Source organism: Homo sapiens, chromosome 14 (genome assembly GCF_000001405.40).
Source record: "Homo sapiens chromosome 14, GRCh38.p14 Primary Assembly".
Taxonomy (NCBI): domain Eukaryota; kingdom Metazoa; phylum Chordata; class Mammalia; order Primates; family Hominidae; genus Homo; species Homo sapiens.
The window spans coordinates 75,012,469-75,029,288 of record NC_000014.9 but is presented as its reverse complement, the minus strand read 5'-3'; the positions used below and the strand labels follow the sequence as shown (position 1 = coordinate 75,029,288).

The 16,820-nt window shown below is 41.2% G+C and overlaps 1 protein-coding gene and 1 pseudogene across 13 annotated transcripts in view; one reads left to right on the top strand and one right to left on the bottom strand.

The window, feature by feature from the left end:
- MLH3 (mutL homolog 3) overlaps positions 1-15,514 on the top strand; it is a 37,693-nt gene extending 22,179 nt beyond the window's left edge. For 8 of the 13 annotated variants that reach the window (XM_047431265.1, XM_024449538.2, XM_017021219.3 and 5 more), the window contains 4 exons: positions 6,271-6,294; positions 6,397-6,475; positions 10,309-10,460; positions 12,088-15,514. In XM_047431265.1, the coding sequence (XP_047287221.1) occupies positions 6,271-6,294; positions 6,397-6,475; positions 10,309-10,460; positions 12,088-12,207 (375 nt within the window). In that variant the 3' untranslated portion in view covers positions 12,208-15,514. Of the gene's footprint in view, positions 1-6,270; positions 6,295-6,396; positions 6,476-10,308; positions 10,461-12,087 lie in introns of those variants that run through there. The other 5 variants (XR_007064005.1, XR_007064004.1, XR_001750225.3 and 2 more) reach the window with 2 other exon arrangements.
- On the bottom strand, positions 8,422-8,528 carry RNU6-689P (RNA, U6 small nuclear 689, pseudogene; annotated as a pseudogene).

Below are 16,820 nucleotides of genomic sequence, written 5' to 3'. Positions count from 1 at the left end.
CCTTAGCCTATTCAATGTGAAAATGATGAGGGTGAAGACCTTTATGATGATTCATTTCCACTTAATGAATAATAAATATATTTTCTGTTTCTTATGATTTTCTTAACATTTTCTTTTTCTTTCTTTCTTTCTTTCTTTCTTTTTTTTTTTTTTTTGCGATGCCCAGGCTGGAGTGCAATGGCACAATCTCAGCTCACTGCAACCTCCACCTCCCGGGTTAAAGCGATTCTCCTACCTCAGCCTCCCAAGTAGCTGGGATTACAGGCGCACACCACCATGCCCCGGCTAATTTTTGTATTTTTAGTAGAGATGGGGTCTCACCATGTTGGCCAAGCTGGTATTGAACTCCTGACCTCAAATGATCCACCTGCCTTGGCCTCCCAAAGTGCTGGGATTACAGGCATGAGCCACTACGCCTGGCCAACATTTTCTTTTCTCTAGCTTACTTAATTGTAAGAATACAGTGTGTAATATATACAACACACAAAATATGTGTTAATCAACTGTTTATATTATTGGTAATGCTTCTGATCAACGTTAGGCTATTGGTAGTTAAGATTTGGGGAAATCAGGCCAGGTGCAGTGGCTCACGCCTGTAATCCCAGCATTTTGGGAGGCCAAGGCGGGCGGATCATTTGAGGTCTGGAGTTCAAGACCAGCCTGGCCAACATGATGAGACCCCGTCTCTACTAAAAATTAAAAAATTAGCCAGGCATGATGGTATGTGCCTGTAATCCCAGCTACTTGGGAGGCTGAGGCATGAGAATTGCTTGAACCCGGAAGGTGGAGGTTGCAGTGATCCAAGATCACTGCACTGCACTCCAGCCTGAGTGACACAGTAAGACTCCGTCTCAAAAAAAAAAAAAAAAAAATTGGGGGGAAATCAGAAGTTATACTTGGATCTTTGACTGGATGGGAGTTGGCTAGATGGGTTGTCAAGGTCAAATCATAAAATAATTTAGCATATTCTACTAAGTAGTTTGCATTTTATCCTATAGGCAGCCAGTGAAAACTTTTAAGCAGGAGAGTAAGGTCCATTTTAGATTGCATTCCAAATATGATTACTTTACATATATGTTTTGGTAAAGGTTTGGAAAGCTACTGCTGGGCTGTGGCATTGGAGGTATTAGAGAGAACTATTACTTTTTATTTTGATTACTTATATGTTTCTTTTTTTATAGCAAATATCATTTATTTTGTCTTTATTGTCTTTTTCCTCTCCTTTCCTGTTTTCTATTATAGTTTTCTGTATTTCTCTTTTTTTTTTTGCTCTACTCGTTTAGAAGTTATATATTCCATTTATATCCTTTTAGAGATTAGCCTTAACTTTTAGCATGCATACTTATCAAAGTTTAAAAGTAATTCACTTCTCTATCCTCTTCCTAACTGTACCAAAATCTTACAAACTGTTCATCTCCCATCACCCTCCTCCCATCTTCCATGTTGCTGTCTAGTACTTTAATTCCACCTTGTTTTTAATTCCCTGGTGGTCATTTATTTTATAGTCAATCTTTATTTAGATTAAAAAAAGTGTTCACCAGAGTCTTTGTTCACCATTGCCTCTTGCATCCTACTTATTCTGTGTTCTTTTGGGTTTTTTTTTTTTTTTTTTTTTTTTTTTTTTACTGAAGTAAATCTCTTACAAGATCTTTTATCCACAAACAGATCTTGAGACAAAAAATACAAAAATATAAAAATAAATAGAAGTTATTTTAGTAAGAGTCCGTGGGCCAGGCATGGTGGCTCATGCCTGTAATCCCAGCACTTTGGGAGGCCAAGGCGGGCAGATCACCTGAGGTCAGGAGTTTTGAGACCAGCCTGGCCAACGTGGTGAAACCCTGTCTCTACCAAAAATACAAAAATTAGCTGGGCATGGTGGCAGGTACTTGTAATTCCAGCTACTCGGGAGGCTGAGGCAGGAGAATCACTTGAACCCGGGAGGCGGAAGTTGCAATGAGCTGAGATCACGCCATTGCACCCCAGCCTGGGTGACAAGAGTGAAACTCTGTCTCAAAAAAAAAAAAGTCCGTGAATGATAAGCTGTCTTTTAAAGTATCTTTATTTTGTCTTCATACTTGCATGATTATCTAGCTAAAAACAGAATTTCACATTGCCAGTTATCCCCCCCGCATTTTGAAAATATTTCACTACTTTTGACTTTCTATTTTATTTTATTTTATTTCATTTTTTGAGACAGAGTCTCACTCTGTTACCCAGGCTGGAGTGCAATGGGATGATCTCAGCTCACTGCAACCTCCGCCTCCCAGGTTCAAGCGATTCTCCTGCCTAAGCCTACAAAGTAGCTGGGATTACAGGTGCCCACCACCACACCCAGCTAATTTTTGTATCTTTAGCAGAGATGGGGTTTCACCATGTTGGCCAGGCTGGTCTCAAACTCCTGACCTCAGGTGATCTGCCTGCCGTGGCCTCCCAAAGTGCTGGGATTACAGGTGTGAGCCACTGCACCCAGCCTGACTTTCTGTTTTAGCCATTGAAGTCCTTAGTCAATCCAATTATTACTCTGTAGGTAATCTGATTTTCCCTCTGGTTGCTTTTACGATGGTTCACTTTGTCTTTGGTGTTCTGCAATTTCCCTATGATGTATCTTTGTATGGATTTATTTTCATTTCCTTCTGGAGATTCACTATGCTTCTTCAGTTTGGAAAGTATGCAGTCATTATCACCTCAAACGTTTCTTTCCCATTCTCTCTCTTGTCTCTTGGAAATTTTGTCAGATATCTACTGGGCCTTATCTTTCTACTCTGCATGCCTCTTCAACTCTCTTCCATATTTCCCATTGCTTTCTCTCTGTGATACATTCTGTGAAATCTCCTCACTTATCTTCCAGTGAACTAAAGTATCTCTTCATCTTCTGTTTAATTATGTGTTTAGCTTATCCACTGAGTTTTTTATTTCAGTGACTAAATTTTTTATTTCAATGGCTATATTTTTTATTTCCAGAAGTTGTGTTTTTTTCCCCAAATCTCACTCTTCCTTTTTTATGGTGTCCTGCTTTTTTCATGATTGTTCCTTCTCCTTTATCAGTAGCTTTCTTGATTTGGAGCACAGGCAAATCCACACCCACCTCATCTAGAAGTCTGAAGTGCTTTAGTAATATCTAAAATAGTAAAATCTAAAATTAGAGGATAGATGTAGTAGATAAATTGGGGGATGGATTTATGTGGGAAGATTTGAGTCAGGGAGAGCAGCTGACGGGTTATTGCAGTGGTTAAGGTAAGAGAAGATGAGGATTGGACTGAGTCAGTAGCAGAGGGAGTAGAGAGGAGTGACATATCTGAGACAGAATTTGGGAGGCAGAAGCAAGAGGACTTGGTGAGCAATCAAACGTGAAAGGAATAAAGGAGAAAACAAAAGCAACAGTGATTCTGAGGGTTGTAGCATGGATGGCTGGAAGGATGGTGGTGCCATTGACAGAGAAGGGACACAGATGAGGAGGAACAAACCTGCCTAGGAGTTCCATCGTGAAGGTGGGTTTAGACACAGTGAATGTGCCTGCAGGTGGAATGCCCAGTGGATAGGCACACTTAAAAGATCTGGTACTTGGAAAATAAATCTGGGCTGTACATATCTATCTGAGAGTTAACAGTATATATATATTGATAGTATCAGAAGCTGGAGAAGGGCCTTGAGGAAGTGAGGTTGTCCAGGGAGAATATGGAGAGTGAAAAGGAAGAGACAAAAGAGTGGAGCCTGTGGAACATCAGCATCCAGGGTGCGTATGCTTTGGAAAAGGTCTGGAAAGCTCTGCTGAAAAGAGGAAATTCTAAGGATGGCTGAAAATACTTGGTTAGAGAGGGAGGAGGAAAACCAGGAAAAAGCAATATTGCCAAAACTAAGGAAAGTTTTAAGCAAGGAGGGAATGGTCAATAACGGCTATGAAGTAGAGCCTGAAACGCTGGACTTGACTGTCATGAGGACATTAGTTGTCTTGTGGAATCATTTCCTGGGGATGAGGTGGGGCAGAAGATAAGAGTGCAGTGAGTCAGGAGTGCGTGAAGCAGGAGGAAGTGAAGCTAAGTAGACAACTCTTTCAGGAACTTTGGCTACACACAGAAGAAGAGAGATGGGGTGAGAGCTAAAGGTTAGAAGTGGTTGGGAAGTGTGGGGTGGGATTCAAGGCTGAGGAAAGGTGTTTGTTTGCTTTAAGACAAAAAAGACGTAAGCAGGTTTGCAGGCCAAGGGGGAAACATTCAAGAGGAAGAGCAGCTGTCAGTCAGCTCTTGGGTCATCTTGGCTTTGCCCTTTCCAGAATCGCCTTTGGATCAGACAGATCCAAAGATTTGCTCTGCTTCCAGCAAAGCTCTTTCCTCCCCACAGACATGCTTTCTCTAAGACCCCTGCTCCAAATTGTCCTAAATCCAAAAGATAGGATCTGTTAGAGTCTTTTATTGTAATTCAATCCCTAATATGTAACCAGAAAATTATAAGAAAAACTTTTCCTGAAGGAACTTAAAAGACTACTGTTAAGGAGTTTGCTTCAAATGGAAACAAACCTCTGGTTTCATAAAATCTTGATTATCCTATGTCAGGCTGATCAGGAGAGACTTTGTGTGATTCTGGAAGAAGCTGGAACAGTTTTGGTGTTTTGAGGAGGTAGCTATTTGAATCCTAGCAGTTGAAAGATCATTAATACATCCTTCTATAAAGCTCTATCTTCTAGCCTGGTGAGGAGGTGGAGGCTGCAGTGAGCTGAGATCGCGCCATGGCACTCCAGCCTGGGCAACAACGAGACTACGTCTCAAAAAATTAAAAATAATAAATAAATACGGCCAGGTGCAGTGGCTCACAACTGTAATCCCAGCACTTTGGGAGGCCGAGGCAGGCGGATCATCTGAGGTCGGGAGTTCGAGACCAGCCTGACCAACATGGAGAAACCCTGTCTCTACTAAAGATACAAAATTAGCCAGGCGTGGTGGTGCATGATTGTAATCCCAGCTACTCAGGAGGCTGAGGCAGGAGAATCGCTTGAACCCAGAAGGCAGAGGTTGCGGTGAGCCAAGATCGTGCCATTGCACTCCAGCCTGGGCAACAAGAGTGAAACTCCATCTCAAAATAAGTAACTAACTAACTAAATAAATAAATAAAAAATAAAATAAAAATATTAAATTATCCAGCATTAAACAGACCATTGGAATATAAAATGGACTGAGATGAGACCCATCACCCCTTCACTAAGCTTACAAACAGATGTTTTACCATCCCAGATGTACAAACACAAGAATGTTTGCTCTCCATCCACACTAAGCTTTGTCAGTGGATTGAGTCTTATGAGACCATCTTTCTGTTTAGGTTTGTTTGGGAAAACATGTGATTTTTAAATTATATGTAATATAGTATCTACTACCTAGCTCTTGATAACTGTGCCCATTTATAGGCATGGCAGACTAGAGTATAGATGAAGGAGGGAAGAGAATTTCCTGAGTCTGGTTTTAAAAGAAAAGGTACCATGTTGTAATCTTAGGAGCAGATTTACACATAGCCTTTTCCAGGAGTAAAGAAATGATTTTCTTATAAAGAAATCATTAAATGTGCAACAGGTTTTTTTCTTTTTACCTCCAGAGGTTAAACAAATTGGTAGCATGAAATAGTGTCTGCTTTAAATTTCTTTAAGCTTCTTTTGTAAATATTAATATCCACAGGGATATAACTATTGAAAAGGTTACCCCAGGGACAGAGACATGCAAGGGAGGAGAAATTTCTCAACAAAGGGCCTCAGAAAATAAACTTTCTGACCTGAAGGGAATTGTCCCCAAAAAGCCCGTGGGAACTAAAGTGACTGTTTACTTATGTTTATGATATTTAAGCAAGTGTTATACTGAGCAGTGGTTGTGTTGATGGTTGTTGTGTATTTATTCTCAGTTTGTGTGTAATATTACGCTTGTTCTGGCTAAGATTACACACACAAACAGACAGCCTTTTAGTGAGAAGCCTTCCTGATGTTTTGAATTGGTTGAATCATCAAGGCTACTCTCACCAGCTACATAACCTCATTAGTTGAGAAGCTATCTCTGGAGGAAGTCTCAGTAGCTAAATATATTCTGTGTTCAATAAGAGTTCTATTCAGTTGCTTGGTTTTTTCATATTCAAAGTGCCTTACAACAAATAAATTTGTACCCAAGTGCTGTATTGCTGGAACTCTTTCTTTCAGGAGGCATGATTTAAAGAAGAAAATTGAGATATTTTGTAAACTATCAAAGGGCAAGTAAAACATAACCGTAGATTAAAGCCGATTTTCCTTTTGCTTTGCAGGAATTTATCCGAGAACAACTGGAGGTAAGCTTTTCCTTTATTTTGGGGTTTCACACAGAAGCACCACACATAAAAGGCTTCGTTGTTCCGTTTTCTTTTCCTGTTAATAACGTGTTTATGCATTAGCTACTCCAGACCACCGGAGGCATCCAAGGGACATTGCCACTGACTGTCCAGAAGGTGTTGGCATCCCAAGCCTGCCATGGTAAGCCCTTCAACATAGCAGTGATCAAACACCTCTGCATGCAGAGCCCTGGCAGGGCTGCCGGGATTACAAAAGAGGCAGAGGGTACATTTACTACTTGACTCTTGGAGAATACAATTTAGATCAAGAAACTGAATATACCCTTTTAAAAATCACTTTTACAAAAACAAAATCCCAACACAAAAATTTGACTATAGTGCTGCCTGACCTATATGAGTGGAGGAATAACTCCTAGAGGAGATGCATTTTGAGATGAATTTTGAATGAGCTGGGGAACATGGGTTCATAGCATGGAAAGGGGAATTCACTATAGGGAGAGTAAACAGCCTGTGCAGAGAGGCAGAACAGAAACAAGTTAGTTATATGAGAAGCAGCAAAGAGTATCAAGAAACTAGGCAGGTAAGAGAACAGAAACCTAGAAGGTCACAGCAAAACCTTTGGATTTGATACAGAAGGCATTAGAATTAGCAAGCGTTCTTTTTTTATCTTTCCAACTTTCATTTTAGGTTCAGGGGGTACATGTGCACTTTGTAACATGGGTGAGTTGCATGTCGCAGGGGTTTGGTGTACAGATTATTTTGTCACCCAGGTAATGAGCATAGTACCCAATAGGTAGTTCTGATCCTCACCCACCTCCCACCCTCCACCCTCAAGTAGGCCCAGGTGTCTGTTACCCCTTCTTTGTTTCTATGTGTATTCAATGTTTGGCTCCCACTTTTAAGTAAGAACATGCAGTATTTGGTTTTCTAATTCACTTAGGATGATGGCCTCTAGCTCTATGTTTTTGCAAAGGATGTGATCTCGTTCTTTTTTATGGCGACATAGTATTCCATGATGTATATGTACCACATTTTCTTTATCCAATCCACCATTGATGAGCATTGAGGTTGATTCCATGTCTTTGCTATTGTAAATAGTGCTGCAGTGAGCATAACACATGCATGTGTCTTTATGGTAGAATGATTTCTGTTTCTTTGGGCATATTCCCAGTAATAGGATTACTGGGTTGAATGGTAGTTTTGCTTTAAGTTCTTTAAGAAATCTCTAAACTGTTTTCCACAGTGGCTGAACTAATTTATATTTCCCACCAGCAGTGTATAAGTGTTCTGTTTTCTTTGCAGCCTCACCAGCATCTGTTATTTTTTAACTTTTTAATACCAGCCATTCTGACTGGTGTGAGATGGTATGTCACTGTGATTTTGATTTGCATTTCTCTAATGATTAGTGACATTGAACATTTTTTATATGCTTGTTGGCCATGTGTATGTCTTCTTTTGAGAAGTGTGTGTTCATGTCCTTTGCCCATTTTTTAATAGGGTTTTTTGGTTTTTGCTTGTTAATTTATTTAAGTTCCTTATAGATTCTGGATATTAGTTCCTTATATAGATTCTGGATATTAGACCTCTGTTGGATGCAGTTTGCAAATATTTTCTCCCATTCTGTAAGTTGTCCGTCTATTCTGTTGATAGTTTCTTTTGCTGTGGAGAAGCTCTTTAGTTTAATTAAGTCTCACTTGTCAATTTTCGTTTTATTGCAGTTGCTTTTAGAGTCTTTACCAGGAAATCTTTGCCAAGGCCTACGTCCAGAATGGTATTTCTGAGGTTTTCTTCTAGGGTTTTTGTAAAAAGATGGAATGCGCCCAGGCGCGGTTGCTTACGCCTGTAATCCCAGCACTTTGGGAGACCAAGGCGGATGGATCACCTGAGGTCAGGAGTTCGAGACCAGCCTGGCCAACATGGTGAAACCCCATCTCTACTAAAAACATAAAAATTAGCCAGGCGTGGTGGCGGGCACCTGTAATCCCAGCTACTCAGGAGGCTGAGGCAGGAGAATCACTTGAAACCAGGAGGTAGAGGTTGCAGTGAGCCAATATCACGCCACTGCACTCCAGCCTGGGTGACAGAGTGAGACTCCATCTCAAAATAATAATAATAATAATAATAATAATGAAGATGGAATGCTTCATGAATTTGCATGTCATCCTTGTGCACGGACCATGCTAATCTTCTCCGTATCACTCCAATTTTATTATATGTGCTGCCAAAGCGAACACCATTGAGGGTTCTTGAGCAGGGTAATATGATACAATATAGAAAATGGGGAGCTGGGTGAGGCCCTGTGAGGAAGGTGCCTGCTTCTCCTTCACCTTCCGCCATAATTGTAAGTTTTCTGAGGCCTCCCCAGCCATGCAGAACTGTGAGTCATTTAAATGGTCTTTCCTTTATAAATGACCGAGTCTTGGTCATTTCTTCATGGCAGTGTGAGAACAGACTCATACTCCTCTATCACCAAATGTCATCATTGCCACCTTCAAAATGTATCTTCGGTCCGTCTGATTCAGTCTGTCTGGCTCCTCCCTCATTTTTGCCACTGTTGAGCTCTCTTACTTAGTTCTTCACATCCACTCTGGCTCCCTTTCAAGCTGCTCTTCTCTCAGCACCCAGAGGAATCTTTTTGAAACATCCCTCCAAGCATGTTGTTCTTCTAACTAAAATGTGTCAATGATGACCCATTGCTCTTGGGATAGAAATGTGATTTTTTACTGTGGCCCACAAGGGTCTTCGTGATTTGGCCCCTGCCTGCCTCTCCAGTGTCACGTCATATCACTCTCCACCTTGTTCTTTACATCCCAGCCTGCTTTTTTGGTCTTCTGCTTCCTGTGTGCTAAACATTTGTCAGCGTCGGGGCCTCTGCACTGGCCTTCTCCTCTACCTGAAACACTTTTCTCTCCTTCTTCAATTAGCCACGTCTTTCTTAACCTAAAGTCTCAGCTTGAATACTACTTTGCCAGGAAAGCCTTCCTTAAGCTCCTAAACTGGGTTTGGTCTTCCTATTATATATTCATATCCTGTATTTTATAGCACCTATATTTATCATTTAAATTATTGTATAATTATCTGCTTCATGTTTGTCTCCCCTATTAGACCATAAGCGCCATGAGGATGGAAATTATCTGTCTCACTAACTGCCTGACAAAGCTCCCAATACAAAGTATATACTTAATAAATATTTGTTGACTGGGTAAATTGTGCATAAAGGCAGGTTATAACAATATGAGAGTTTAGATTAGGAAGATTATTATGGAAATTAGAAAAAAAGAAGCAAATAAAATGAACATTGTAAGGAAACAATCAGAGATTGCTATTGGACGATCCATGGAGAAAGATAACCCCAACTTCACAAACCCATAAAGAGTAGGCAAAAATACTGCTCTTGCCTCTTGGAGAAAAACTCTGAAAGCCAGATCCTAACAAGTTAAGGAATGCCTCCTACAGAGATTAGAAATACAAATACTCCGTAAGAAAAAGCTGAGAGACAGAAGGTCAGTCCTGAAGCCTTAGTTTCATCCATGGTCATAAGCACTAATTTATTTCCCTCTTTTTTTTTTTTTTTTTTTTTTTTTGAGAACGGAGTCTCGCTTTGTTGCCCAGGCTGGAGTGCAGTGGCGTGATCTCGGCTCACTGCAACCCCCGCCTCCTGGGTTCAAGTGATTCTTCTGCCTCAGCCTCCCAAGTAGCTGGGACTATAGGCGCGTGCCACCACACCCGGCTAATTTTTGTATTTTTAGTAGAGGCGGGATTTCACCATATTGGCCAGGCTGGTCTTGAACTCCTGACCTCATGATCTGCCCGCCTCAGCCTCCCAAAGTGCTGGGATTACAGGTGTGAGACACCATGCCCGGCCTATAAGCACCAATTTCAAGCAGGATTAAAGCTTCATTAAAGAAGCCTAAGAAACATGTTACTTTTTCCAGATATTTGGCAGTGACCCAAGGTCAGCATTGGTTTCCCACTATATACACTATAACCTTCTTGTTTCTGTCTTTCATTTAGGGGCCATTAAGTTTAATGATGGCCTGAGCTTACAGGAAAGTTGCCGCCTTATTGAAGCTCTGTCCTCATGCCAGCTGCCATTCCAGTGTGCTCACGGGAGACCTTCTATGCTGCCGTTAGCTGACATAGACCACTTGGAACAGGAAAAACAGGTACATTAATGACTAACAGGAGCAGGAGGGAGCAAAGTTTATTTTCTCTTTCTTTTCTGGCTTTTACTATGCAACTGTAATCTGTCTTAACCTTTCCAAAATAGGAGAGTTTTGCAAAATCTGCACTGGAAGTTTCACATAAAGCCTCACCCATTTCATTTTCCAGCTCAAATCCAAAATGGAACTTAGACTGAACTGTCAGGTCACCTACATAATGGCTTTGTATTTTAAAACTTAACACATGTACAGACTTATGTACCCTGAATATCTATTGCCTGCTGGCTCTAGGTTTCATAATATGCAGTTCTTTCTGAAGCTACTGAAAGTTGGTAGAAGCACAGCAAATTCACTGTTGGCAATATAGAGCCTCAACTTCCAGTTTCTTGATAGTACCTGCTGGAAACGGTGATCTGTGACTGTAGCTGGCCATCCCCAAGGATCTTGAGTTATGGTTTGAGGATCATCAGACAGGGACCCAAGCTTGGGGATCTCTACATTATGCTTTGGCCCTAATTACCCAGCAACCTGCAAACTACAATGTGGATAATGCAGAAAAGGCACAGAATGGCTTAAATGAAGAACTTCTGTCCTTGTTATAATCTTCAGTGAAGGAGAACATGGAGAACATAACAGGAATGTCCCTGTTGCTGCTTTCCAAAATCTTTCCTTTTTTTTTGTTTTTTGAGACGGAGTTTTGCTGTTGTTGCGCAGGCTGGAGTGCAATGGTGCGATCTTGGCTCACCGCAACCTCTGCCTCCCGGGTTCAAGCAATTCTCCTGCCTCAGCCTCCCGAGTAGCTGGGATTACAGGCATGCGCCACCACGCCCGGCTAATTCTGTATTTTTAGTAGAGACAGCGTTTCTCCATGTTGGTCAGGCTGGTCTCGAACTCCCGACCTCAGGTGAACTGTCCACCTTGGCCTCCCAAAGTGCTGGGATTATAGGCATGAGCCACTGCGCCCTGCCCAAAATCTTTTCTTTTGCTAACCTTTCCCTGCTAAGGGATATAAAATCTTTTCTTGCATGGAGTTTTCAGGTACTAATGTTGTCTGACTCAACTAGCTGATTTTACTTCATTAAAACCTCTTTGTTTCACAAAGAAAAATATGAAGAAAGTTTTTCTCCATTGCTGAGAGCTGGGAATCTAGACTTAAAGTTCTGAGTCCCCTTGGATCCTTAAAACAATCTGTAATCTCTATTGAATCCAGAAGTTAGAAATCTAAACAGATTATAACAGCCAGACTTTGGAAATATTTGTATGCTACCTACATTTTCAATTTTTTTTTTTTGAGACGGAGTCTCACTCTGTCGCCCAGGCTGGAGTGCAGTGGCATGATCTTGGCTCACCACAACCTCCGCCTCCCAGGTTCAATCAATTCTCCTGCCTCAGCCTCCTGAGTAGCTGGGATTATAGGCATGCGCCACCACACCCGGCTAATTTTTTTTTGTATTTTTAGTAGAGACAGGGTTTCACCATATTGGCCAGGCTGGTCTCAAACTCCTGACCTTGTGATCCGCCTGCCTTGGCCTCCCAGAGTGCTGGGATTACAGGTGTGAGTCACCTCGCCCAGCCTGTATGCTACCTACCTTTTCATATTGCTAATTGAAGTTATTCTTTCTTCCCATAGATTAAACCCAACCTCACTAAACTTCGCAAAATGGCCCAGGCCTGGCGTCTCTTTGGAAAAGCAGAGTGTGATACAAGGCAGAGCCTGCAGCAATCCATGCCTCCCTGTGAGCCACCATGAGAACAGAATCACTGGTCTAAAAGGAACAAAGGGATGTTCACTGTATGCCTCTGAGCAGAGAGCAGCAGCAGCAGGTACCAGCACGGCCCTGACTGAATCAGCCCAGTGTCCCTGAGCAGCTTAGACAGCAGGGCTCTCTGTATCAGTCTTTCTTGAGCAGATGATTCCCCTAGTTGAGTAGCCAGATGAAATTCAAGCCTAAAGACAATTCATTCATTTGCATCCATGGGCACAGAAGGTTGCTATATAGTATCTACCTTTTGCTACTTATTTAATGATAAAATTTAATGACAGTTTGATTGGTTGCTTGGTTTGTTATTTGAAGGGTGTGATTTTTGTTTTTGTACAGTTTTTTTTCAAGCTTCACATTTGCGTGTATCTAATTCAGCTGATGCTCAAGTCCAAGGGGTAGTCTGCCTTCCCAGGCTGCCCCCAGGGTTTCTGCACTGGTCCCCTCTTTTCCCTTCAGTCTTCTTCACTTCCCTATGCTGCTGCTTCATGTGCTACATCTCAGACTTAAAGAGTTTCTCTACTACAGTGAAAACATTCTCTAGGGTCTTTCATCAGGCCTTTAGTTATTTTAGGGATAAAAACTATTGATAAAAAGGACAAGGATAGAACAGAGAAAATTTAAAGTCCTGTTCCGGGTTTTTTGTTATGTTTTCTTTAAAAACTCAGAGACTGATGTTCAATATCCCAAACCAGTAAAATGGTGAAAATACTATGAGCTTGTTTTTTAAAATATGATTTTTTTTGGTACTTTATAAAGTATCTCTTTATGTGAAAGCAATTGTCATATCAAAACACAGCATACATACGTTCAACCTAACCAAATATCTTTACACTTTTTCTTTCAGGAGACAAGGGTTCTTTGGGTCCCTTTCAAACGGTATCTTGGTGTTATTACATTATGCCTATCTATTGCCCTTATAATATCACTTGGGACCAGGACTGATCGTTCTGCAAATGCTTGTTATGCCATTCTCAATCTATTTTTCCCGCACCTTTTCACATGATTTGTGGTTAATAGGACTCAACAGACTAAAATTGCATAGTAGAAAAAAAATGCAAAAAGCCAGCTGGTAATGTTTATTGCAACTGGGGTGCTATACAATTAGTAAGATGATGCAATGAGAATTTCTACTTTTGTATTTCCTGACCAGCCTGCTCAAAGTGGCTTTTATATCAATTGAATGATTTTCCTCATTTTTTAATACAGGAAACCAATTCGTGCTCATGGAAGAAAAGTTCCTTTGCCAGCAGCCTTGAAGTGAATCTTACAGGAGCAATGAAAGTATTGCATTCATTAGCGTCTGCCCCAGAGAAGGTTCAGAGAAAACCTTCACTTGTTTTCAAGGGGATCCTTGTAGATTTACGTAATTGGAATCCTGAAGAACAGGCCCTACTGTCTAAAAAATGGCTTTTATTCTTCTAAATACATATAAACGGATGTTTTATAGATGGGAAGACATGACCTTAGAAAGGAGAGAGTTTTCAGAGGATTTGCCAGGCTGTCAGGGGCTCTGCCTCCAGGCCCAGTGTGGCAGTGTGGCCTCAGGGCCTCCGCCTCCCTGCTTGAGGGCTGCATGGAGGCCAACTGTCCTGGGAGTTGTAAAAATCTTTTAAGGCCAGACCAATTTGAGGGATTTTAAAAAGTGTCTCAGTGCCTCTTATGATTTCAGAAGGTTTTGCTATATGTAATCCCAACTACTGTTTTCTTGAGAGTAGCAGAGGATTAGAAAAAGTCCTCCATAAATTATGTAACCGGCCTTCCTGACTAGCCTGACTCAAGCAATGTAAGAGATAATTATTCTGTTTTCATAATTTATAAGTGTGGGGGCATGCCTCAGCATAAAAACAACCTATTAGGGAAAAATATCTAATAGATTACCTTTATCGCCTGTTAGGGTTTTATGTTGTTTTTAACTCAGATGCCATAAGAACAAAGATACATGTAATTTATAATAGTAATCATTAATACCTATATTGTGCTTTAAGGTTTACAAAATAATTTTTCTCATACTTTATCTTAGTTTAGTTTCTTGACAGTCCATGAGGTAAGGTGGTAGCTTTATCACCATTTTACAAAGTGGGAAACGAAGGTTCCTCTTAGGAACCTAGTTGTCACCTTTGTATAATAAAACTTCGAAGCTCGGAGCTGTTAACTGGTTTGCTGAAGGCTTAGCTGTAAGAGCCAGAATTCAGACCCAGGTCTGAGTGACTTCAAACTGCACAGTCCTTCCCATTATTACCCATATGCTATCCCTTATATTTTTAATTTATTAGGAATTCATTCATTTATAAACTTGGTGATTCACCTTTATTAGATTCTGGTCGCTGAAGGCTTTAGTAACTTCAGAGTAAAACTTGAGAGATGAGATGTAAAATGCAGCCATTCTTGAGAGTTCCTTTTTCTGTAACATTCATCAACACTTCATTGAGAAGTGAAGGTTCCTATGGCTGTCTCTACCTTCAAGAGGCTTAGCTTTAGTCACTGAGAAAGACAAGGAAACTAATGATAGAATATAGTAGCTTCTTCTGGCGTTAGGTATCACAGAGTCACAGCTAGTTACAGCTAGCCCTTTATTATTGAAAGAAGAGGAGCTAGCAGTCCCACTATCAGAATTAAGACTAGAGATGGTAATAGGAGCTAGTATCAGAAAAGCTTAAGGCAAAGCATAAAGTGTAGGCTAGAATGAAGCTGGAGAATGGGGAGGGGGCTTGGGTAACATCCAGAACCTGGCTGGGGACCTGGAACTACATGAGATGTAAGAATGGAGAGGTTCTAGCAGTCAGAGGTCAGGTACAAATGAACAGCTGGGATCTGCGCATGGCAGACAGTGAAAAAACCCAGGCAAGCAAAATGGTCAGAGCAGAAAGGGGCCCAAGGCCACGTTCTTGAGATGTGGAGGGGGCTGAGGAAGCCACGCCAAGTAAGGACAGATGCAGCTCAGCAGTTCCTAGCGAGCCCTGACAAGCCAGCTCAGCTGAAGCTTCGGGTGGGAGCCAGTCATGGCACAGTGGAGTGAAGGAAGAGCAGTTTCAGGCACCCAAAACCTGACCCCCACGACCTGTTTTCCACCTGAAGAGCCACCCATTCCATCCAAACCCTTGGCAAAAGTCTGCTAACAGAGAGAACCGGCCAGTATGCTGGCCAGTCGCGATCATGCCTGTCTTTACCCTCTAAGCTGAAGCTGCTCATCAACGGTGAGATGGCAAAAAGGTGGGTCCAGAAGAGGGGAAAAGAAGGGAGTCTGTGAAAACAAAATGCTGAAGAATCTGCATCAAATAAACCCTTCCTTCCTTCCTTTTTCCTTCCATCCCTCTCTTCATTCAGCAAATCTTCAGTGAGTTCCTTTCTAAATGTATTGTATCAGAACTTGTGGGGGATATAAAGAAAAAAAAGAGGTTATCACATGGCTTAGGATGTTTCCAACCCTTGGATCATTTTCACCCCAGGCCCATTAGTTACAGAGCACTCAGTCTTACCCAGAAGCATCGGATATAGTCCAGGCAACCGGATCCAAGCGTGTGGGAATCGCAGTGTGCTGCATGTGGGAATCTATCAGGCCAGGATGATTCAAGCAGCAGCCTGCAGAAGTGGGATTTGGCCAGCCTTGCCTGACTCTGGCCTTCCAACTTGCTCTTATCTACTTCCAAAGTAAGGAATGCCCCATGATGGGCCGAGCAGTCCAAAAAAAGTGGCTTGGAGTTAGCTACCGCAATTAGCAGTTTCTCATTATTCAACACTGCATTACCTCTTTTTCATATTAACTGCAGAATTTTATTTTTATGTATTTATTATCCTTCCAAACCCAGTGTTGTAGGAAGAATATTACATATAAATGATAACTTAGGAATCTTGTCAAGTTTTTGTTTCTTCAGCACTAAGTAGCTTATTTTCTAGGCAGGTCTTAATTCTAAATGTAACATGCTTGAAAAAAACACTATTGAAAGGATCCGTCTCTTCAGCATAGTATTTAATATACATATCAGGCAATCACCATCTCAAGCATGATTAGACTCAAGTGCTGCCCTCCATCGTGTGAGGGATGCTGGGAGACTGGAAGCTTAGACTTTAGCTCTTTAAGTTGGTGCAAAAGCAATTGCAGTTTTTACTATTAATAATAATAATTGCCTAGCCATTGTGCAGTACCTTGCAAGAGCTCTTTGGCAAATGAAAGAATAATTCAAAGCAAAGTAGGCCAGATATAAAACACTTCCAAATCACATTTCAAAATTGTTCTTTCATGTCAACTAGGTGCATGTCTGCTAAGGGAGTTTTTGCAAGGACAGGTGGATAGTGTGAGGCCTTTACAATAATCACATCACCATCTGGTACTATCTGTATGGCAGAGCAGTTCTGATGTAGTTGTAGTATTATAGATCATTACAGAGTATGCCAGTCATTCCATGATGGAACTGTGACTGGCAGCCTTCATTAGCCCAAAGACTGATGCAACAGATTGCTTTGAGAAATAGTTTTGAAGCACATCCATGAAACATATGATCCTATGGGTTCCAGCATTGATTTCTTTGAGGTATCATTTTACACTTCAGTTTTTCCTGGTAGAGTATTTTTCAGAGATGTCTCTTCTGAGGCTAAATTAGGA